Below are 23,455 nucleotides of genomic sequence, written 5' to 3'. Positions count from 1 at the left end.
AATGAAATCATGTCCTTTGCAGCAATATGGATGCAGTTGGAGGCCATTATCCTAAGCAAATTAACTCAGGAACGGAAAACCAAATACCGCATGTCCTCACTTACAAGTGGGAGCTAATCATTGAGTACAAATGGACGCTAAAGGGAACGATATACACTGGCCCTACTGGAGGGTAGGGGATGGGAGGAGGGTGAGTACTGAAAAACTACCTATCAGGTACTATGCTCATTACCTAGGTGGCAAAATAATCGGTATACCAAACCCCCGATACACAATTTACCCATGTAGCAAACCTGCCCATGTACCCCCTGAATCAAAAATAAAGGCTGGAAGGGAGGAAAAAAAAAAACCTGTGGAAACAAAGTATTAGAATAATATATTTCAAATGCTGAAGAAAAAAAATACTAAGAATTCTATATTCAGTGAAGTTATACTTCAAAAATGAAGGCAAAATACAGGCATTTTCAAATAAACCAAAAATGAGAGAGTTTGTCCCCAGCAGACCTGCATTCAAAAAATTCTGAAGGAAGTTCTTTAGGCTAAATGGAAATGACACCAAATGACAACTCAGATACAAGAAGAAACTAAAAGCAACAGAAATGGCAAATATGAAATAACATGTGTACATACTTTTCTCTTAATATCTTTAAAAGATGGCTGCTTATAGCAGAACTAATAACACCGTATTTGATGGGTTTGTAAAGTGTGCAGATGTAATATATGACAACAATGGCACTCAGGACTGGGATCGTACATGGATATATGCTGTTGCAAGGTTTCAGTGTTTTCTCTGAACTATTATCTAAATATTAACTCTGAATAAATTGGGTAAGTTCAAGATGCATATTGTAATCTCTACAGCAACCACTAAAAAATAGTTCAAACAGATATAGCTAAAAGCAATAGAGGAATTAAAATGACATTCTTAGGCTGGGCATGGTGGTGTGCATCTATAGTCCCAGCTACTCGAGAGGCTGAGACAGGAGGATCACTTGATCCAAGGAGTTTGAGTGCAGCCTAGGTAACATAACAAGACTCTAAAAAAAAAAAAAAAAAAAAATTTGGCCAAGCACGGTGGCTCACGCCTGTAATCCCAGCACTTTGGGAGGCCGAGGTGGGTGGATCACGAGGTCAGGAGTTCAAGACCAGCCTGGCCAATGTGGTGAAACCCTGTCTCTACTAAAAATAAAAAAATTTGCTGAGCACAGTAGCAGGTGCCTGTAATCCCAGCTACTCGGGAGGCTGAGCCAGGAGAATCACTTGAACCTGGGCAGCAGAGGTTGCAGTGAGCCAAGATCGTACCACCGCACTGCAGCCTGGACGACAGGGTGAGATTCTGTCTCAAAAAAAAAAAAAAAAAAAAGTTATGGCATCATAAAAAATATTTGTTAACACATGAAGCAAGAAAAGATGAACAAGAAATTTCCTTAGAAAGTTGATACAAATAAAATTTATTAATATAGGTCAAATCATCACTATGTCAAAGAAGAAAGACCCTGTGATTACCTTGATAGTTAATGAGACATAGAATAATATAGTTAAGAGAGCATATTCTAAAGGCACATTATCTGCATAGAAATCCCTCTCGTTTTGTTAGACTTGTACTATAGAAATAGTTTGAAATATTGGTAGAAATCTATGTGCAATAACTGTTTGGAGTATTTTTTATTAACACAGGATTGATGATGAAGTTCTCCCCTCCTTTTTATTATACACATGATTTGTTTCCAAAGTCATATTGTTTCTTTTAACGTAAGTGTTAGAATGCTAATAGCATAATAACTTTATAGCATGAGCTGTTTTCTTTATGCTGTATAATGGTGTATTGAATTTTCACATACTCAAAGTAAGCTTCTAGTTTCTTTATTTTCTAGGAGAAGGATGTGGTGTCTGCCCATGGAAGAGAGGAAGCATCAGATAGGCGTTTACAGCAGTTACAGTCTAGTATAAAACAATTAGAAATAAGGTAAATTGTTAAATGCACCTAGCTTTGTTGATATGCTTTAAAAGATATTTTACAATAGAGTTTCAGTGTGTGATATTTACTAGAATAAATATTTTATAAACTCCAAATCAAAACTATAATCATAGGTGTAAAATCTGATTTAATCGACATTGTTTATTAAAAACTATATTCAACAGATTGCTATACTTTGAATATATATTCAAAGATAATTTGTTTAATATGATTTTAGAACCTTTACTAAGTACATTAATTTAATTTTGAATGAGAATAATTGTACCAAATTTAGTCCAGTACTTTTTAGGAAACAAATAAAACCCTTGATATCATGCTTTTGTATCAGTACTGCAGAGCACAAAGCACACCTTTATTTTCATTTCTCCTCAGGTCATCCTGCAGAGTTTGGTGTGAACATAGTTGACCCTCAGTAACCTAAAATCTTTCTTTCTTCTAAAGAGTGGTTAAAATTTTAAAATCATAGTTAAGAGGAAATTTGATATTACCTCAACCCCTCTATAATTCTGTACTTCTGCAAATAATACAGTTACAGTAGAAATAAACCATCAAAATGGAAGGCAAAGAAAGGAGAGGAATGTTATTTTTAAAAACTATTTTTTAGGAATCATGAACCATAAATCCTACAAAAAGGATTAGCTTCAAGAGCTAAATGTAGATTCTTTTTGCATCTTGGGCGTAATATGTCAGAAAAATCTTGCAAGCTGAAGCTTGATCATCAATTCTTTTGGTCCTCCAGAAGGCAAGGTGCTAGTGCATCCTGCTCCCCAGTACTGTTCTCCCTTGTGTTCTTGGGAATTCTAATTTGCAATGGCCCTTCGGATACCTTTACCCATCACTTATCTCTGCCCTGATAGCCATCATCAGTTGGTGTCATGTTTTTCAACAGGAGTATTGGCTTTTTGAGTGAGACAATTCTTAGTTGTTTGAGACTGTGCCAATAACTACAGGATGTTTAGCATCCCTGGCACCAAATACTAAATTCTAGTCGCATCTCTTAGCATTGTAACTACCAAATGTCCCTACACATTTCAAATGCCAATACCATCATAGTTGCAAACTGTTGAGTATGGGACACTGGTATATCAGAATGGTCCATGCAGTACTTTTTTAAAAATCTTTTTTCTTTGTACAAGTTGAGCCACATGACTTCATATTAGATTGTGGACTTTATTTTAGGTAGGGAGAATATATATTTGTCTTTTTCTAAAGCTGAGAAGTAATTTTTAACCAGATGCTAAAAGTCATCTTGAAAAGATGACATTTTCCAAGTGCTTTGATGATTTTATTTTGCTATAAATGAATAATTTATCTGTTTAATAAAATCTTTTCATTTGACACAATGACTATAATAAAAGTGACAATAAATATATGCCTGCCCCTCCCACATTAACAATGCCTTTTGTGTACTAATATTTAGAATAACTAATATAGGTAGAGGAAAACAAGTATGGTCCTTGAAGGAATCAATAATAATTAGATTTGAGAAGAAAAGAAGTGAAATGAAGTTTTAATAATTTTTGTATGTTTGTTTGTGGTAATTTTGGGCAGTATAAAGGAGACATATGCAGCATACTTGAAACTTCTATTTTTATGCCTATTGAACAGGAGTAGTAGAAAAAGGTCTAAGAGATAGTTGAGATATGCCCCAGTATGACTAGGTATGATTTTCCATACATTGTTAGAAGAAAAGTCTGTAAGACTCCCTCCTAAGAGGGACTTTCGTATTCACAGGTGAAGCATCATGTTTTCAATGTGTGCTGAGCACCTACTGTTGTACCAGCCAGTGTTTTAGGTTCTGGAATTCTAGGAGTGGCCAGTATCTGGTGATATCTGATTATCTCCGTAGATGACAGAGAAAAGTCCTTAAACAACATTTATACCTATTTAAACAAATACAAAGGATTATCATCAGTAGGGAAAATTCACCAATGGATACTACTATTAAAAATAGGGTTTTTAAAAAATAAGTAAAAACTTAAATGAAGTCTGACTGAAAGGCATCACTTACTTGTATCATCACCCCCACTACCTTCTGACCTTCATTACTCATATGCTTAAATTGTTAGGGAAAGAAAATTATTCAATAATATAATTGACTCTTGGTTGGCTGCCACTATCCACCTGAATTGATATTTGAGATTTCACCCATATTTACTAAAGAATGCACCCAGATTTATATATCATTCATTACTTAATCAGAATCCAAATCATTTTTTTCGCCTTTCTTCAGCAAATATTCACTTCCTAGACTGAAGACATTTTAAAAGCTAAGTTACCATAGGATATATGTATATGAGAGCTTGAGAAAAGTAATATGAAAGTGATTGAAAAACAGAATTTAGATACAATTGTTTTTCTTCAAGATTAGTTGGGTGAGTCTTTAGTACTGTGAAAGACCAAATGTACCAGATAATTCAGAAGATTATTTTATTCAGGCTATTGCAGTAGGGAGAATGCTCATTAATGAGGAATGTTTCAAAGAAAAGGAAGGGGTCTGAGGTTTTACATAGGTGGATAAACAAGTTGTGTATGAGTCTTAGGGGAGTCATGAGAAGGGATGGAGGTGGGTCTTATGTTGGAATATGCGAGAGCAGGGTTGTTTTATGCTGTTAGCTCTATTCTGAAACACAAAATGATAGAGGGGGTTTAGAGAAAAAAGGTGGGAGGATTTCTTAGCCATCCCTGTTTTCTTGGCTCAGGTAAAGTCTAATATTATCAGTATAAAGGAAGAACAAAAGCCAGATACAGTAGACATAATATACAATTAACGTCTGTTCTTAAGATTTGAGGCAGATATTTGAGTGGACCAACAATTCTGTAACACAGGTTAGAAATGGAGGAAAACAAAGTAATGATTAATAATGATTGTGCAGACTATTCCATTCACATAATATGTCAGACTAAATATTCTGAAAAAAACCCTCTTAATGTAAGCATCTTGATCAATTACAACATGATTTGTTTTCAAAGTTGTTTCTTTAACTTACATGTTAGAATGCTAATAGCATAAAAACTTTATAGCATGAACTGTTTAATTACATTTAAATGCTCAACTTATATAGTTGGGTATTCTCAAGTGTACAAACAAAAACAAAAACAGGAAGCTAAAACAAGAATGATAAATAAATGACTTCCCTGCCAAGGAGGTCAGGGCTGGATCTGTATAATATTGCAAGAAGGTAAATGTCCTTAGGCAGGCTGGAACCCCTGAAGGAACTACACTCTCATTAAAAGACTAAAATAGAAAAAAATCCTGCCTCTTAACAACGATAGCCAACAAATAAAACTATTTCCACCATGTAGCCAAATGGAAAGTAGAAATCATAACAATCATTGCAGTCTTCTCTGAGAATGTGTAACCATAACTCTGCCCTCATATGAGCCTGTTGTTTAATATTATACTATTTGTTGATTTGGAAACCTCAGCCCCAAACACTAAAGTGGCAACAGATTGGTAGGGAGTCCTGGTGCATGGAAGAAGCAACAGTAAACCTTTGGGGGAAATACTTTTGAACACAGACCCCTCAGGATTCCTACAGATTAAGTTTAGACAGATAAGAACTTAATCAAAAATTACCAAACACATGAGAAAATAAACCACTTGACTGACAGGAAGAGGGTTTTGATGTGGTTAGTGGGGAGAATAGAGAAGGCTGCTGCTTCTACTATTTAAAAAAAAAGAAATGTCTGAAAATAACAAATAACAAAGAAAATTATAAAATATATCTTACCAAACATGTTATAAAGCCACAATAATCAAATTAAAATGAGTTGAGCATGTAATAAATAAGTAGATCAATGCAACATACTCTACTAGTAAATTATGATATTTGCATATATGATATTTGCATATTTTGGGGGTGATAATAGGAGTATTTAAATTCATTAGTTACTAATGGTATTCATACAACTGGCCATTAGTCTGGAACTTAAATTGGACTCTTCTCTTACATCATATTCAGGAGTAAATTCAAATGAGTCAGGATTAAAAATTTAGGGGTAAAAATTAAAGTCATGGAAATATTTGGAGGAAATCTAAGAGATTACACTGACAATCTATGGATGAAGGAGACCATCTTTATAAAAACTGAAATCGCAAAAGTTGAAAAAAAATAGTCAAATTTAGCTGTATTAAATTTTTAGTGTGGCGAAGATTCCCTAAATAGAGTCAATAGGCAACAACAACAAAAAAGTAGATTTGGAAAAAAAAAAATTTGCAGCATAAAGGACAGACTAAGGGTTAATATTTATAATTTAGAGTTCTTTTTTTTTTTTTTTTTTTTTTGAGACGGAGTCTCGCTCTGTCGCCCAGGCCGGACTGCGGACTGCAGTGGCGCAATCTCTGCTCACTGCAAGCTCCGCTTCCCGGGTTCACGCCATTCTCCTGCCTCAGCCTCCCGAGTAGCTGGGACTACAGGCGCCCGCCACCGAGCCCGGCTAATTTTTTGTATTTTTAGTAGAGACGGGGTTTCACCTTGTTAGCCAGGATGGTCTCGATCTCCTGACCTCATGATCCACCCGCCTCGGCCTCCCAAAGTGCTGGGATTACAGGCGTGAGCCACCGCGCCCGGCCTAATTTAGAGTTCTTATAAAGGGAAGAGCAAAGTAAACAACCCATCGGAAAAAAATATGCAAAGAAGATTAGAAGAAATTCAAAGAACAAAATCCATATGGCTTACAAAAGGAGGAAAATATGCCTAAACTTTCTAATAGAGAAATACAGATTAACAGTGAAATGAGGTTACATTCATTAGACTAGGAAAGGAAGGAGCCTTTCTAACTTGATGAGATTTCTATATTATTGGATGAGAAAAGCAAGTACAGAAAAGGGTGTATACTATGATTTTTATTGTTATAACAAAAGTTTAAAAAGCTCCTGTCATTACCTGTATGTATAATATGTGTGTATATTTATGTGTATATGTGTATGAGTATATATATATATGTACATATGATCATATGAATATTGAGAAAATTATTTTAAGATATACATTAGTAAGTTAACATAGCTTGTCTGGGTAGAGAGTATGAAAGGAGAGAAAAGAGAAAAGACCATATAAATGTAAAGAACAACTCATTTCTTAAGGGTTTGCTTTATATCATTGTCATGTAACTATATAATACAGTGTGATACCATAACAAGTATAACATAATTAGGATCAGAAAATCCAGGCTTAGTCTCAGCCCCACTGCTCATTAGCGCTATGATCTTAATCAAATGCCTAACCTCTCTGGGTATGTTTGTTGTTCTTTAAAATGAAGGTATGGAGATAGTAAAACCTACTTTATAGAAGGGTAATGAGTATCAAATGAGAAAATATTAATACATGTGAAAGTTACTGGCATAATACCTGTCCTGTAGTAGATGCTCAGTAAATCTCCCTCCTTCCCTTTAAAAAAGTTTAACTTTCCCAGTGTAATTATTGATTTCTAGATTATGTGTGACAATCCAAGAAGCCAACCAATTAAGAACCGAAAATACACATCTGGAAAAACAGACCAGAGAGCTACAAGCAAAGTGCAATGAATTAGAAAATGAGAGATATGAGGCTATTGTAAGAGCCAGAAATAGCATGCAACTCTTAGAAGAAGCTAACCTTCAAAAAAGTCAGGTAAGAAAGCTAGTAAATATGTTTAGATATAATAAAATGTTGACTATTCTCCCATGTGACCTCACAGTAAGGGATTCAATAGCTGTTGAATAAATGCATGAAAATGAAATTGCTACTCTTTTCATTAGTAATCATCCATATTCTTGGATGGTAAAACCAGATATCATCATATGATAAAACATCAATTCTTTTCTAAAATAATGTATAAATATCAGACTTTCTTATTCTCCCAGATGCTGCGTAACTAATCTTCATCCCCTGTAGTCTCATACTTAAAAAAAAAAAACTGTTAACAGTGCTTTACTTCAGTATACCCTATATTTTATTCAGTTGAATCTGATAAATCTTACCCGTCTCTATTCCCCTTCATCATATACTCAATTACTTTATTAAAGCGGAAGCTTAATTAGCTTTAAAGATTTATTTACTGAAGGCTTCATGTCACTGTTCTTTTTTAATTCTCTAACAATTGTGATTCCTGTGCTGTCAAATACAGTGTTCCTTGTCATATACTGCTTCCCTATGAATGATACATTTAAGTTTATTGAAGTCACAAAACAAATGTTTTAATGTTTATTTTGCGGCCTCCCTTATGTAGAGTTCATTAAATCATTAATTTATTTACCAACATTCATCGAATGCCTAGTATATGCAGAATACGGGTACAAAGGAAATGCTTTGTTTTATTTTTATTTCCCTTTTTACAGAGGATTTTTCAAGAGAGCTCTAAAACAGAATATAGTGTAAGTTGGATATTGAGAAGCTCATAAATAAAAAAAGAATTAATTATCTAAATCCTAACTGTGGGGATGCTAAGGTGTTTATCATGCCTTTCAACTAATATTTTCATCTGTGATCTGAATACTGTCTTTTAGAATGGTTAAGAGGAACACAATAGACATAATATGCTTGGGAATTGTGTCGAATACCTAAATCAGCTGGAAAAATTAAGGTCAAGAAAAAATTTTTATCTCTACCCTCTGAAGCCTACTTGTATGAGCACTCTTATACCAAGCCATTAAAAATAAACATCTTGTGTAGAGCACAGTGGACAGAGAAAATAGTAGGAACACTCATTGCCCATCCTCCTCCCAAATCTTCTCACTCAAATCTTAAGTCAACAGACGCTCACAGAGGCTGTCTATGGTTACAATATTAAGCTGCTCTTTGACTCATTGCTTAATTGCTAGAGGGTTCCCATCTTCAGTTGCTTGTTCAAAGTCAAAGGTTCTCCCAGCCGATCACACAAACAAGGCAGGAAGTACAGCCTAGCATAGTTCCCCTTCTCCCCCTCAAGGTTATTACATAAGAACAGCTGTTACTTCTCACTAGCTTACTTGTTTAAGGTGGAGGAATTTTATCTTAAAAAACAATTTTTACAAAAACAGAGGTAAAAATGTGTATGGTACCTTTGGAAGATGGTGGGAACAGAACACAGGGCCATTTACATGTTGATTTAAAATGGATTCAATTTGGCCTAATTGAAGAAGTTCCAAGCCCAGAAAAAGGTTTGTGTTAGAGATGTAAATATGGGGATTGTCAGCATATAAATGATATTTAAAACTGTGAGATTTGATTAGACCACTAAGAGAAGGACAGATAGAGAGGGGGACAAGAAGTGAACCTTGGGTAGTCCAGTATTAAGAGGTTCAGGAGATGAGGAAGAATCAGCAATGTAGACTGAAGAGGAATGATCAGTGAGATAGGAGGAAAACCGGTACTGTGTGTGATGTGCTGAAAATCACATGCAGAAAGTACAACAAGGAGAGGAAAGTAAATATTTCAAGTGCTGCTGGTAAAGAAGTACTGAAAATTTACTTATAGATAATCAATATGGAGATCATGGTGGTGAAAGCCTGATTCAAGGGAGTATAAAAGAGATTGAGAGGAAAAGTCTTGGAGATGAACAAGTTACAGAGTTTTGCTTCTCAGAGAAGCAAGGAAATGGACTGTGACTGACAGCAGAGCTAGGATTATGGCAATATTTATTTGGTGGAGGATGGAAATGATTGGAATTATAGAAATACATCAAAGAGACAAAACAAGTAGTGTCTGCAATGATCAAATTATGAGTTAATGAGTGACATAATTTGAATAATACTAAATAATGGAAAGAGAGAGAAATTCAAGAGATTCTTATAAGGATACAATACCTAGATTTGATTATTTACTTTATATAGGGACTTGAAAAAATGGAAAATTCAACAATGGTTTTAAGATTTCTGGCTGTAGAGATTAGAAGGGTGTTAGAAACACTGGCTGAAATAAATACCATAGAGAAAGTGTCTTTAGTTAGGACAAGGGCAGGTGAGGAGGTTAGGGAAAATAAATATCATTCGTGATTTCAACATGATATTCAAGTAGAGATGTCCCAGAAGTTTTGAATAAGGAAGTGACTAGTGGATAGGTTTTCACCTGTTATTATCTTTACTAATAATAATGTTATCTATAACATGAAATGATTATTTTCTGAAGGCTCTACTTGAGGAGAAGCAAAAAGAAGAAGACATAGAGAAAATGAAAGAGACAGTTTCTCGGTTTGTACAAGATGCTACCATAAGAACCAAGAAAGAAGTAAGGATTTTTAATTATATTTAAAATTCAGAATTTAAGTCACAACTAAAGACTAAATTCTACCTAAATATTTGTAAATTAAAATTAAAATACTTGCCTACATAGTTATAAAGACTCCATATGAAATTATTAACCTAAGTGTTTAAAAACTAACTAAAGGAACTGAGTAAAGGCTCCTTTCCTTTAAAATTATCTCCAGTAGGATAGTGGGATATACTGTATAGCCCTCCACTGGATAAAATAAAGATGTTCCTTTTTTTTCTTTATCTGTATTTTTTGTGGGCAATATTATTTCTCTCCTAGGTGAACTGTAGATTTAAACTGGTTTTCAAAACTTCCATCAGTTTAGAAAAAATAAAGTTAAAATGTTTGCTTTCTCCCAAGCAACTAAGTGGTAGAATTTTTATTTCCATAAAGCCACTGTACAACATTTCTTCCTGCAGAAGTATTTCTTAGAAATCTATTACTTTTACAGAATCATGGTGTAAAGAAAAAAATCTATTACTTTGTCTTATATGACTGAAATTAGATAGTTTCCCAAGATAAAATTTTTAATTTAAGGCAGAGTCCAAAGTAAACCCTGGGCTTTTTAATTTGTCATCTTCTATATCCTTTCTGCAGGAGCTCTGTCTTTCCTATTTGTGAAGTTGAGAGTACTGTAACATTGGACTATAGCCTAAAATATTCTTGATGACATATTTTTAAAATAAATATTAATAAACTTTATACTTTTAATGATAAAAATATTTTATTAAAGTATTCTTGGTATGAGCATTCCTCTAATTGTATTTTCTTATCCTAAAATAAATTCAAATTGATTTTGAGGTTGATGAAGGTCATCTTTTGCATGAAGCTTTAAATAATCTAAGTAGAATTTTTCAAAAGCATTGTGATCTCATTCATTCCAAATGTTTTGCAAACGGAAAATACAGATGCTTCCTAAAATCCAATTATTTCCCTATTCAAATATGTAGTCCTACCAGGCATCTGAAACTCAACATGTCTGAAACTGAACTTACTCTCATAGTCAGTCCCAGATTGTTCCTTCCTTAGGTGTTCCTGTTGATTTCCTGTAGCCAGCCTTTCCCTGCCATTACAGCTATTCACTCAGGAAGTATTTATTGAGCACTTCCTGTGTGCCAAGCATTTTGCTGCGTCTTTGCCCCCTCTGAGTTCCACACTGTTGCCAAGTTGATTTTTTTAAGTAAACTTTTAAAATTATTATTAAAAGTGATATATACTCATTGTAAAAAGAAATGGAAAATATGTATGAGAAAATATGTATAAATGAAAAATATGTATAAAAGAAAATTAAAATTACAAGTTTAATACCCAGAGATAGCACTATTTTTAGCATTGTTCTGTGAATTTCATTTAATCCCAAATTATTCACGGCATGTCCTTCAAATATGTAGAATTAACCTGTTGAATTGAGAATAACTTTACATGTATCTCTTCCTATTGACTAAAGTAAATATAATGAATAAATTGTCACATATTTCTGTTCTGGCTATAAAATTGAACAAAAATATGACGTGGCTTATTTCTTTAAAATATGAAAATACTTTATTTCTTAGATATCTCTCAAATAATTAAAATTTGTAAAAAATATACATTGTTCACTTTTGATTTTAAATCATGGCTGGTGCCATTATTGGATTTTCCTATTTCTTAATAGTTTATCTTACTATTTGGTTTATAAATGTCCTTACTATTCATAAAATTATAGAGGAAAAATGCTTATATAAAGTGAGGTTAGGATGAGAGAAGGATATTAGTCCCTCTACAGACTTCAAAACCCCAATCACAGTAAACTACCTCACTGAAATGTGTGTTTCCTCACATGACAAAAGTTTACATTTTGTTTCATTAGATGCTAACTCTAGGAAATTCCATATGACCTTTGGAGCTTAGAAGTTTACGTATGATATACCATCAGTGTCAATAGTTCTACACAGTCCTTTTAAAAGGCATGAGTAGTTTGATTCGTCTGACTTTGCCAGGATTACTATAAATGTATTTCAAAATATGTACCCTCTTATTGACATAAACCCTCAAGTTAGCTGTATCATTTCTAGATACTGAAAAGAACACATTTTAGAAATTATGTGAGAGAGCGACAGACATGACAGGCTTATAAGAACCAAAATTTTTATGTTATAGGAACATTTATGACTTAATTTCTCTGCCTCAGTCTTCCTCATCTATAATGGAAATAATAACAACCTCATTGGATTTTTGTGAGAATTAATGAGATAATACATGTAAAGCACTCTGAATAGTACCTAACACCCATTAATCCTCAATAAATTCTATCTGTTATTGTTACTGATTTCATAAACAGAATACATTGATTCTTAATATAATTATTCATAGGAAAAGTCTACATCAAATTATAACCTTTAAAAGAGCTGGCCGGGCACGGTGGCTCACGCCTGTAATCCCAGCACTTTGGGAGGCCGAGGTGGGCAGATCACGAGGTCAGGAGACTGAGACCATCCTGGCTAACACGGTGAAACCCCGTCTCTACTAAAAATACAAAAAATTAGCTGGATGTGGTGGCAGGTGCCTGTAGTCCCAGCTGGAGGCTGAGGCAGGAGAATGGTGTGAACCCAGGAGGCGGGGCTTGCCGTGAGCTGAGATCACGACCCTGCACTCCAGCCTGGGCAACAGAGCGAGACTCTGTCTCAAAAAAAAAAAAAAAAAAACTAAAATAGACCCAGAAATAATATGCTTGGCAGGTCTTCAAAAAGATAACACTCATATTAATTAACCATATAAAGTACATGGCAGTATTGTAAATGTTCTAAACAAAGTTTACATCATATTTTCAAAATAGTCCATCTTGTACTAGAAAATTCTCGAAGACCTTTAGATCATAAAATTTACTGATGATATACTATTGGCATCAGTATTCTTCACAGTCCTTTTAAAAAGCATGAATAGTTATTAGAAAAATTTATTGTCATAGCGAAATCCTGATGAGATGTGACTAACTCTTCAAAATGCTCTGTGCACATTAATAGTCTTCTTTCTGAAGATATTTAAATGTTAATTAAATTTTATTAAATGTTACTTATTAAATGTTATTAAATGTTAATTTAAATATCTTCATATGTAAAAGTAATTTAATACTGGGATGTGGTGTGTATTATTTAAAAAGTATTCTGTTTATGAGTCAAAAGCACCTTTAAAGTTTTTTTTTTGTTTTTTTGTTTTTTTTTTTTGAGATGGAGTCTCACTCTGTTGCCCAGGCTGGAGTGCAGTGGCGCCATCTCGGCTCACTGCAAGCTCTGCCTCCCAGGTTCACGCCATTCTCCTGCCATAGCCTCCCGAGTAGCTGGGACTACAGGTGCCTGCCACCATGCCCGGCTAATTTTTTGTATTTTTTTTTTTATAGAGACGGAGTTTCACTGTGTTAGCCAGAATGGTCTCGGTCTCCTGACCTCGTGATCTGCCCACCTCGGCCTCCCAAAACCTTAGAAGTTATTAATTAAATTTTGACTTGCTTTATAGCAGCAGTTCTCAAAAATATTGTTCAGAGAGGCCACAAGGTCACACCTACTTCTATAATTGTAGTTAAGACATCATCTGCCTTTTTCAGTCATTCTCTCACACGTGTGCAGTGTTGTTTTCCAGAGGCTGTATGATATGTGACAACACAATAGGTTGATACAGAAGGAGATATCAGAATCTAGCTTCTATTCAGCCAGACATTAAGGAAATTTGCAAAAGTATTTTAAAAATGCTACTCTTCTCAAAAATTTTTAGTTTTGGAGAATATACTTATTTCTTATAAAAATATTGTTCAGGTTAATCGGTAAGAAATTACTTTTTAAGAGATTAGTAGGTAAATGTCTTTAAATTTTCTGTTTTCATTTCTAATATGGTAGATTTTCATAGAACCCATTATAAGCAAAAGATCTTTTTTTTAATTGTGGGTAAAAGCATCCTATGACCAAAATGTTTGACAACCACGGTCCTTTTGGATATACCATTCTATTCACTCTCCTTCCACTTTCATGGCAAATTCTTGGCTCTTTAATATATTATGTGCTTATTTGTCTTTTATGCCCTAAAAGTTACAATTTTATTTTTATCAAAATTATTATCCTGAGTGTTTTTATCAGATATTAATCATTTTTATTCTAGAACCAAATAATGAGTAAATGTCTTAATTTACAGGTTGCAAACACCAAAAAACAATGTAATATACAAATTTCTCGATTAACAGAAGAACTTTCAGCCCTTCAAATGGTATGTTTGACTATACTGATATTTTCTTCCAAATATTACTTATTTTAAAGGCCAAGATATATACTATTGGGGATTCATTCATTCAAAAGATACTTATTAAACCAAGCCCTGGCTAGGTGCTAAGAAAAAAGTGAAAATCCAGATAGACATGTTTGCAGCAGCCTTGTGGCTTATGTTCTAGCAGGAAAGATAGATGGCATTTATCACATTTTACTGTAACTACCTGTCTTTGACAGAGAATGCACAGGATGCTATTGCTAGCTGTAGCTCCTATCATATGCTGAGTTTATCTGGGAAACCAAGGAGAAAGAGAAAGTATATATAACAGTGGGAAGGAAGAAATACAGAAAGCTTCCTGAAAGAAATGAATACTGAGGAATGAGTAGGCCAAGAGGGGAGAGGAAAAGAATACTTGTGTGGCTAGAGGTGAGATTGGAAATAGAAGTTTAACTTGAAGATTTGATGTAATGAAATTTAATAACCTTGCTTATAGGAGAATAAAAGTATAACAATTTTCAAGAATTGAGAAAATGTTTATAACTTCACAAACTTTCATCTTTTCTGACTCCCTGTATCACTTTTTATCTCTGTTACAAAATTTAGCAATGAATCATATCTTGTAATAACTATCATGCTTTAGGTGTATGTTGAGCATACACACTCTGTCTCTCTCCATGAAAATCTTACCTCTGCAATTAGATTGTAAGCATCTCAACATAGTAGAGTCTTACGCCTTCCTTTATTTTCCCTGTTGCTTGCCTAGTACAGTGTTTTGCAGAGTATATTTTTAAATGTTTATCAACTGAATGGTATATTTAAACACTCTGAAAGAGGGATCACATTTTCTTTCGCCATTCTACAAACTTTGGAGAGCACATGACGGGATCTTAATCATTGTGTATTGGTCCCAAATGTAATAGAACAAGGAATATTTATTTTGTATTTGTTTGTTTAATGTCACTTATTTTAATAATGTAGGAACATCAAGTAAAATTAGTGAGATGCAATGTGGCCAGTTAGTGACATGTAATTTTTTGTTGTTGTGGAGTTTTGCTTCCTTTTCTATCACCCAGTTATTTTGCTTGTTTTCTTTCATGGGCTGATTAGCTATCAAGAGATTCGTATCTTTGTGGAAAAAGAGGAGTAGAAGGGTACTACCCCAGTCCAAGATCATTTAATGGATGGTAAACTCTGCAAGGGCATGAATATTCATTCTTTCTGTATTCTCAAGGGAACAAGGACTGGCTAAGACTTCCAGGGATTTTTCAAATCGTTGTTAGCTGTGTAACAACCAGAGCTATATTAAACTCACTTTAGAGTAAAAAGAATGACAATTTCAGTTTATTGCAAAAAGTGTTTCTTATAGTAAAACAATTCTACTTCATAGCTAAGTGATTTTTCTAAAGATATGAAACATCTCATAGTCATGTTGATTCTATGGGGAGAACTATACTGTGTAATTGAAAAGTTTGAAGTATTATGTTAAAAATATGTTCAAAGGAAAACATATTTGGCTACTTTAAGACAGATTTTCTCAAAAAATCTAAGCTACAGTTTGAAGCATAATAACCTGATGCTTGCTATTGTTTTCTATTATTAACAATTTTACTATCTAGACTAATAGTATTAGTATAATATACTATCCATCTATACTATTTATTTACACTATGAAGTCCAGGAAGGAAGTTATGCATACTTTTGCTGATCCAAAAGTAAGGTATGCTCACAGGAAGGAGAAAAATTTGTATTTTAGATGAGTGTGCAGATTATTTAATAGATTAAGAAAAAGCCGGAGCCATTACATTTCAAGCTACATATCTCCCTTTGGAGACCAACACGTACCTAACAGCCTTTGTTTTCTCTGGTAAGGTGTAGTTTATCTTAAGAATATTCAAGGTTTTATTCTGCCATGTAGCAGATTGCTATTAATCTATATCAAATAAGAAAATTAATTATAAAATGTTCAAACTTACAAAAGTAACATAAAATGTTCATTATGATCTTTTCTTTGATGGATGAATTTTTTGGAAGTCTTTTTTTTAGTTTCTAAATACATGAGGATTTACACTGTCTTTTATTGTTGATTTCTCATTTGGTTAGGTCGGCAGCACAGATCATGGTCTATATGGTTGGTTCTTAATATGTATTGAGACTTCTTTTATAGAGTATTATTTTGGAAATACTCCATGAGTACCTGAAAAAATATCTATTATTTTGTCATATTTTCCCCCAAAGGTAGGCATGTCAGTGGTGATAAGCAAATATCTCTAAAAACTTTGTAATAGTAATTTTTAATGTTTGCTTTAGTATTATAGTGCATTTCTACTAGAATTAGTATGGTAATTCTCTCTAAAGGCTTAAACTTTGCTGTCTCATTTTACCTTTTTTACCCCCAGGTTAACCAAATATTCTTTAGGCCATCATCATTTGTCAGTGAAATGGTGGATTGGGTGGAGAGGGATATGAAGCATACTTACACATGCATTTCTTTATATACCACTTGCCAGCCCCAGAAGTGTGAGCCAGACTTTGTTATTAACATATATATTAAAAATCACATGGGAGGAGTTACGAATGTAGGTAAAATCCCAAATTTAGCACTGAAACTACCCTCTCCTAGATAAGCAACTTACTATATGAATATGTGGAATATTAATGTTGCATTTTGTATACACTCAGGGTTCTATCTTAATAAAAGATATTAAATTTAAATTTGTCAACTGATTTGTAACAGGTTTAAAGATCTTCATTATCATCAATGGTGATTAATTTTGGGTCACAAAAGAAGCTTACTTTAAAATTTAAAAACATATTGAAATACACTTCTTCTATAAAATAATTGAACATCATTAGTACGTAGTGTACAGTTAGCAAAGTGGGTTCCTCCAAAGCATGATTCACAATTAGGGGAAAAAAAAAAAAGAGGAAAAAAAGCCATACCCCACTATTCACAATAGCAAAGACTTGGAACCAACCCAAATGTCCAACAATGATAGACTGGATTAACAAAATGTGGCACATATACACCATGGAATACTATACAGCCATAAAAAAGGATGAGTTCATGTCCTTTGTAGGGACATGGATGAAGCTGGAAACCATCATTCTCAGCAAACTATCACAAGGACAAAAAACCAAACACCGCATGTTCTCACTTATAGGTGGGAATCGAACAATGAGAACACATGGACACAGGAAGGGGAACATCACACACCAGGGACTGTTGTGGGGTAGGGGGAGAGGGGAGGGATAGCATTAGGAGATATACCTAATGCTAAATGATGAGTTAATGGGTGCAGCACACCAACATGGCACACGTATACATATGTAACAAACCTTCACGTTGTGCACATGTACCCTAAAACTTAAAGTATAACAATTAAAAAAAAGGGACAGAAATGCAAATGCACAGAATGAGGGGCACTCTGCAGTGGAGGCCAGCCTTAGTGGGTCGCAAACAGGGTGGGGCAGAGATGACCTCCCCCTGCACTGATTACTGTCCTATTAACATACACATGTGCACCTGTCTCACGAAAAAAAAAAAAAAAAAACAAGCCATACACATTACCCATTCTCCAGAATAAATGTATAAATACAAATAATTGTGAAGAACTAATAATTATGATTTTTTTGTTTTAGGTGCATTAGCAAAATGTTAAATTTTATTATCTAATTGATATGCTTGCTAAATACAGAGTAAAATCTTTTGAGCAGAAATACTTTATGTTCATGCTAATAAAATATTTTTAGTATTTCTGTTGGCTGTAATTTTTGTAAAGAAAAAAGTTAACTTTTTTAGAATTTATACACCCACATATCCTTTAGGCCATAGGTTATCCCTGAGGGTTTTGTGCCACTATCTGGTTCTATGTTCCCTTTTCAAAATACTTGATAAGAGTATATGAAAAGAAAATCTATAGTATGAGAAAGGGGTTCTATTTATTTTTTTCTCCCTGGAATCCCCCAACCTCAGTCTGTTTAATTAGAACTCCTTGGCATCCTACTGCTGGAGGCAATTTCTGCAATCCTGGGTTAGGTTGCTCTTCAAATATTGAGTTTTGTTTTGTTTTTAATCAATATAACCTTAAACTTGTGTTGATAACTATGATATTCCCATTATGAACAAATTATAATTTTTCCCCACTTTTCTTAAGATGTTACCAAATGTATATATTTACAATATGACTTGAATTTATAGGAGTGTGCTGAAAAACAAGGCCAAATTGAACGAGTCATTAAGGAAAAAAAAGCAGTGGAAGAAGAACTAGAAAAGGTAAAAAGAAAAAGGAAATATAACTACCTAAAACCCAACTGCAAATATGCAACATTACTGTCTGCCTCCATCATGCCATCTACTAGCAATTCCTTTATTTGTTAGTATTGTCCTGGTAAGTTTTTCTTTTCTTTTCTTTTTTTTTTTTTTTTTTTTTTTTGCAATGGAGTCTCACTCTGTCACCCAGGCTGGATTGCAGTGGCATGATCTCGGCTCACTGCAACCTCCACCTCCCGGGTTCAGGCAAGTCTCCTGCCTCAGCCTCCTGAGTAGCTGGGAATAGAGGCGTGTGCCACCATGCCTGGCTACTTTTTTTGTATTTTTAGTAGAGATGGGGTTTCACCATGTTAGCCAGGATGGTCTCTATCTCCTGACCTCGTGATCCGCCTGCCTCAGCCTCACACTTTTCTTAAATATATTCAGAGTCTACAGTTAAATACTGATGTTGCCTGGATACAATTCTTTTCCAAGGGCGGCTGTATTCTTTGAACTTTGTACTTAAAGATATAAATTTTGTGAAGTAGTTATATTTCTTGCTTAAACCTCATCCTACGAAATTTCACTTTGTCTTTCCTTTCTTTTTGAGTTTTATTTTAGCTCTTATGGTGCTTAGGCCATCTATAAATAAAACAAGTATATATAACCAGAAAATTATAGCATTGCTATGATTTTTACCTTTTAGAAGTACAGATTTTAATTTCACACTTAGGAAGAATATTTACCCCCGTGATATTTCAGAAAAACTATAGGGAGAACTCCATAGTTTAAAATTCATCTCTTTCATATGCTTTTTTATTAGCAGTAATATCCTGCTCTTGTAAAGTACCTTGGGAAAAGAAAAGGAGGCCAAATTTGATTGAGCACTTACTGTGTTTTAGGTGCTGCACTAAGAACTTTCATAGAGAGGTTAAGTAACTTACCCAATGTTAAAAAGTGGTAAATGGTAGAGTCAGAGTTTGATTTTCAAAGGAGAGCTATGTAGCGTAAAAATTATGGTCTATATCTATTATGAACATGAAAAAATTATGACATCAGTAAAAGAGTAATACACAAAGCAAAACATAATGTACAATTCCATTTGTGAAAAAAAAAATACATGTGTTCAAAATAGGACTTTTGGTTACCACTCTCCTGCAAGGTGGGTCCCTTCTGAGTTTCCATCTGCGTACAATTTCCATTTAGATTGCCACCTGTTACACATCAGGGTTTGGGATGAATGTTTTAACATCACATGGCAAAGGTTAAGGAAAAGGCTTTTGGGGAAATGTAAAACTTACAAGGCAAAAGACAACAGGTAAAGAGAAAGCACAGCGCCTTATTCTCCCACTGTTCCACAGACCAGTGTTCTAAGGTCAAAGTACTGCTGGGTCTGCAGCTTAGATCTGTATTCCAGTAGTGGAATGTTGACGTGCTGATACTCCATGTTTTTATAGAGAGTGACAAAGCAGTCCTGTCAGTGGGGAAGACACAGGTTACTTGGCCAGGCAGTCTAGATTTTGGGGGTAGCTGTGTGCAGGATTTGCTTCAACGTATGAACTGCTTACACCTGGAGACCTTGGATCTCTTAGGATGTTACAGACCTTGTGCTGTAAGAGGGAGCCCCATTGCATGGAAAGCTGAGCTTAGGTACAACCACCACTGCCGAGGAAGGGGGAAGCCCCATCCTAGCTAGATCATTGTCCAGGTAACCCAGAGTGAGATTCTGGAGTCACTTGCAGAGAGTTCTAGTTATTGCACCATGGCATGTATCTTTATTTTTGAATATTGGAAAAGAGGATTGTATTGAACGGTACTCATCAAAGAATCACCAGTGGTTATCTCTAAGTTGACATTTATTTTTACTTCAGCTGCTTTACATTTTTGTATTATTGCATAGTTTACCATGAGCATGAATAATTCCAAAAAAATAAATTCTATTTTTTAAGAGACAAGGTCTTGCCCGATTATCCAGACTGGAGTACAGTGGACATGATCATGGCTCACTGCAGCCTCGATCTCCTGGGCTCAAGGATCCTCCTACCTGAGCCTCCCTAATAGCTGGGACTGCAAGTGTGAGCCACCATGCCCAGCTAATTTTTTAATACTTTTTTTAGATGACAGGGTCTTGCTATGTTGCCCAGGCTGGTCTCAAAACTATTATTATTTTATATATTAGTTTTTAGCATTTTATTTTGTAAATGTGACAGAACCAGATTTAATTATTGATATGTTTCATATGTTACGGTCAGAACAAATGAACACATAATCATGGCTTTTTATTTCTTCCATTGATTTCTGTTTCTAAACTGTTTATTAAGACAGTTTCTTCTGTAATATTATATACCTAATAAGCCTTTTCTGCAGATTTACCGTGAAGGCAGAGGAAATGAGAGTGATTACAGAAAACTGGAAGAAATGCACCAAAGATTCCTGGTTTCAGAGCGTTCAAAAGATGATCTTCAGCTAAGACTTACGAGAGCAGAAAATAGAATAAAACAACTTGAAACTGAGTAAGTTTTTCTTTTGGATTTTCTATGATAACATCTTCAGAATTCACACAATTTTTGACAGATTCGCTACCTTTTCTTTTTTTTGGTAGGACTTACAATATATCTTATGTTGAAAAAAACAATTAGGACCAAATATAATTTTATTCAAGATTATTTCTGAAAGCGAATTTCTGCAGGAAGAAAAGATTTAACAGTAGCATACCATTTTCTTTTAAATGTATCCTTTCTGGCAGTTAAATAGGATGTTTATAATATTGTTGTCTTTGTACCAATTGTGCAGCTATTATAGTAGCTTGCTTATATTCTTTTATACTACCTGTACTTAGTGTATTTCTTGTTATAGTGAATATTCTATAATGATCCATCTTGTATATTTTATTATCTATAAAATGATAAAGTCATAATTTGACATACCATTTTATTTTTCTACCTCCCCACCCCGACGGTATTACCTAATATAGCAAAATTTTCTTATTTGAATTGCCTAAAATCACAATCTCTATATGTGTTCAAAATATATTTTTAATTAAATACTAATACCTAAATTAATAAAGATTTTTTTTAGTAAGAGATCTTGCAAATTTGTTTAATAAATATATGTGTAATTTTCAATAACCTTTTCAGATAATCTGCTCATATGATTACTTCCAGATCAAACCTGCAGGAGGAGCTGGTTTATTCCAGCATAAATCTTGTATGTACTAAGAGACGTATCACACATGAAGGCTTTTCCCAATACCATACATTCACGGGGTTTCTCTCCAATGTGTATATCCATATGTCTCTTAAGGGAGGAGTATTGAATAAAAGCATTCCTGCATTTGTTTTAATTCACATGGTGTCTCTGCATTATGAGTATTTTGCGTGTGTACAGTAAAAGGAGATATCGAAGTCTTCTTTGTGTTCCTTATATTCATAAAGCTATTATCCAGGGTGAACTCTCACATATTTCCTAAAGGGTGTAAACATAGAATAAGGTGCGAGGACTGGGTAAAAGACCTTCCCATGTTCCTTACTTTCAAAAAGCTTCTCTCCAGGATAAATTTTGAAGGTTGAGTGAAGGATAAGGATTAACCCATCTTCTTTAGATTTACCAGGCTTCTTTCCAATATGAGTCCTTTTCTTTCATTAAGGAAATGAGAAATGACTAAAGGCTCCCATGCATTCTTTTTATAAGCAGAGTTCTTCTCCTCAGTATCAGTTCTTACGCGTTCATCAAGACAGGAGGAATTAATGAAGGCTTTCCCACATTCTCCACATACAAAGAGTTTTTCTCCTAAGTTTTCATATGTGCTTTAAAGTATATTTGATGAACTTTTTTCTTAGTTACTTCATTTAAAGGGTTTCTCTTGAGTGCGAGTTCTCTTGTCCATTTCTAATTTCAGGAATGTTTGGAGTGCTGTAGTCTTGCATCTCCTTTAATCTCTGGGAATCCCCTTTTCTGTATTTTTGTTGTTGTTGCAAATAATTTGTTTTAAAAACTGAGTTCTTAGTAATGTAGAGTTTCCTCCACTACATGCCTGTATATTGATGCTATTTACTCTGTCTCATGTAATTCCTAAAAACTAGCAATTAGACCCAGAGGCTTGATCTGGTCTAGCTTTCTTTTTTTGTTGTTGTTGTTTTTGGAAGAATTCTTCATAGATGATGATATTGTGGACGTCTATTAGGAGGCTTACAATCTGTGGTTGTTTCTGATCTCAGCATCTTCTGATGTTAGCATCCTTTTATTATCATTCCCTAGATATGTCATTTTATTAGGAACTTTATCAGCCTAGGTTTAGACAGAAAAAAGACTATGAGTATTGCGGGAATAAAGGATTTAATGTAGGAAACAGTTTACAAGAATGTGGGAGTTGCTGGGGAAGCAAAGATCTAGAAAGGCAGAGGTAGAGATCAAAGAAAATCAGTCACTAACTGTGTTCACCCAAAGCACTGGCAGATATGGGCAGGTCAGCATGCCAAAATAGGACAGAAGGAGTGGTTCATGGTGATAAAACTGCCACCAGGTCAAAGTTGCTTCTTTATTTTAAGAATTTTAAGTATTTTTCTGCTTGCAAAATACTTTTAACTAGTAGTTTTCTTAAACTTTCACAATATTAGTAGCATTTCCATACAATTCCCTGTGAAACCTATTAACCAGGGAATGTTCACAGTGCTTATCTGTTATTGAAAAGATGGAAGTTTTAAAAGATAGGAATAAAAATTAGCAGTATATTGATTTGAAGCAACATTAATGTATAGAGGTTGTCTCACCCAGTGATCAGTG

General features: G+C 34.3%; 1 protein-coding gene across 12 annotated transcripts in view; it reads left to right on the top strand.

Moving 5' to 3' along the window:
* The window catches only part of SCLT1 (sodium channel and clathrin linker 1), a 220,299-nt gene that overhangs the window by 126,347 nt on the left and 70,497 nt on the right, over window positions 1-23,455 (top strand). For 6 of the 12 annotated variants that reach the window (XM_017007717.3, XM_017007716.3, XM_017007719.2 and 3 more), the window contains exons 11-16: window positions 1,875-1,966; window positions 7,416-7,593; window positions 10,069-10,167; window positions 14,353-14,424; window positions 18,623-18,697; window positions 21,029-21,186. In XM_017007717.3, the coding sequence (XP_016863206.1) occupies window positions 1,875-1,966; window positions 7,416-7,593; window positions 10,069-10,167; window positions 14,353-14,424; window positions 18,623-18,697; window positions 21,029-21,186 (674 nt within the window). Of the gene's footprint in view, window positions 1-1,874; window positions 1,967-7,415; window positions 7,594-10,068; window positions 10,168-14,352; window positions 14,425-14,660; window positions 14,851-18,622; window positions 18,698-21,028; window positions 21,187-23,455 lie in introns of those variants that run through there. The other 6 variants (XM_047449590.1, NM_144643.4, XM_047449592.1 and 3 more) reach the window with 3 other exon arrangements.

This window comes from Homo sapiens, chromosome 4 (genome assembly GCF_000001405.40).
Source record: "Homo sapiens chromosome 4, GRCh38.p14 Primary Assembly".
Lineage (NCBI taxonomy): Eukaryota > Metazoa > Chordata > Mammalia > Primates > Hominidae > Homo > Homo sapiens.
Note: the sequence above shows the minus strand (reverse complement) of the source record. Positions and strands in the feature narration are given on the sequence as shown.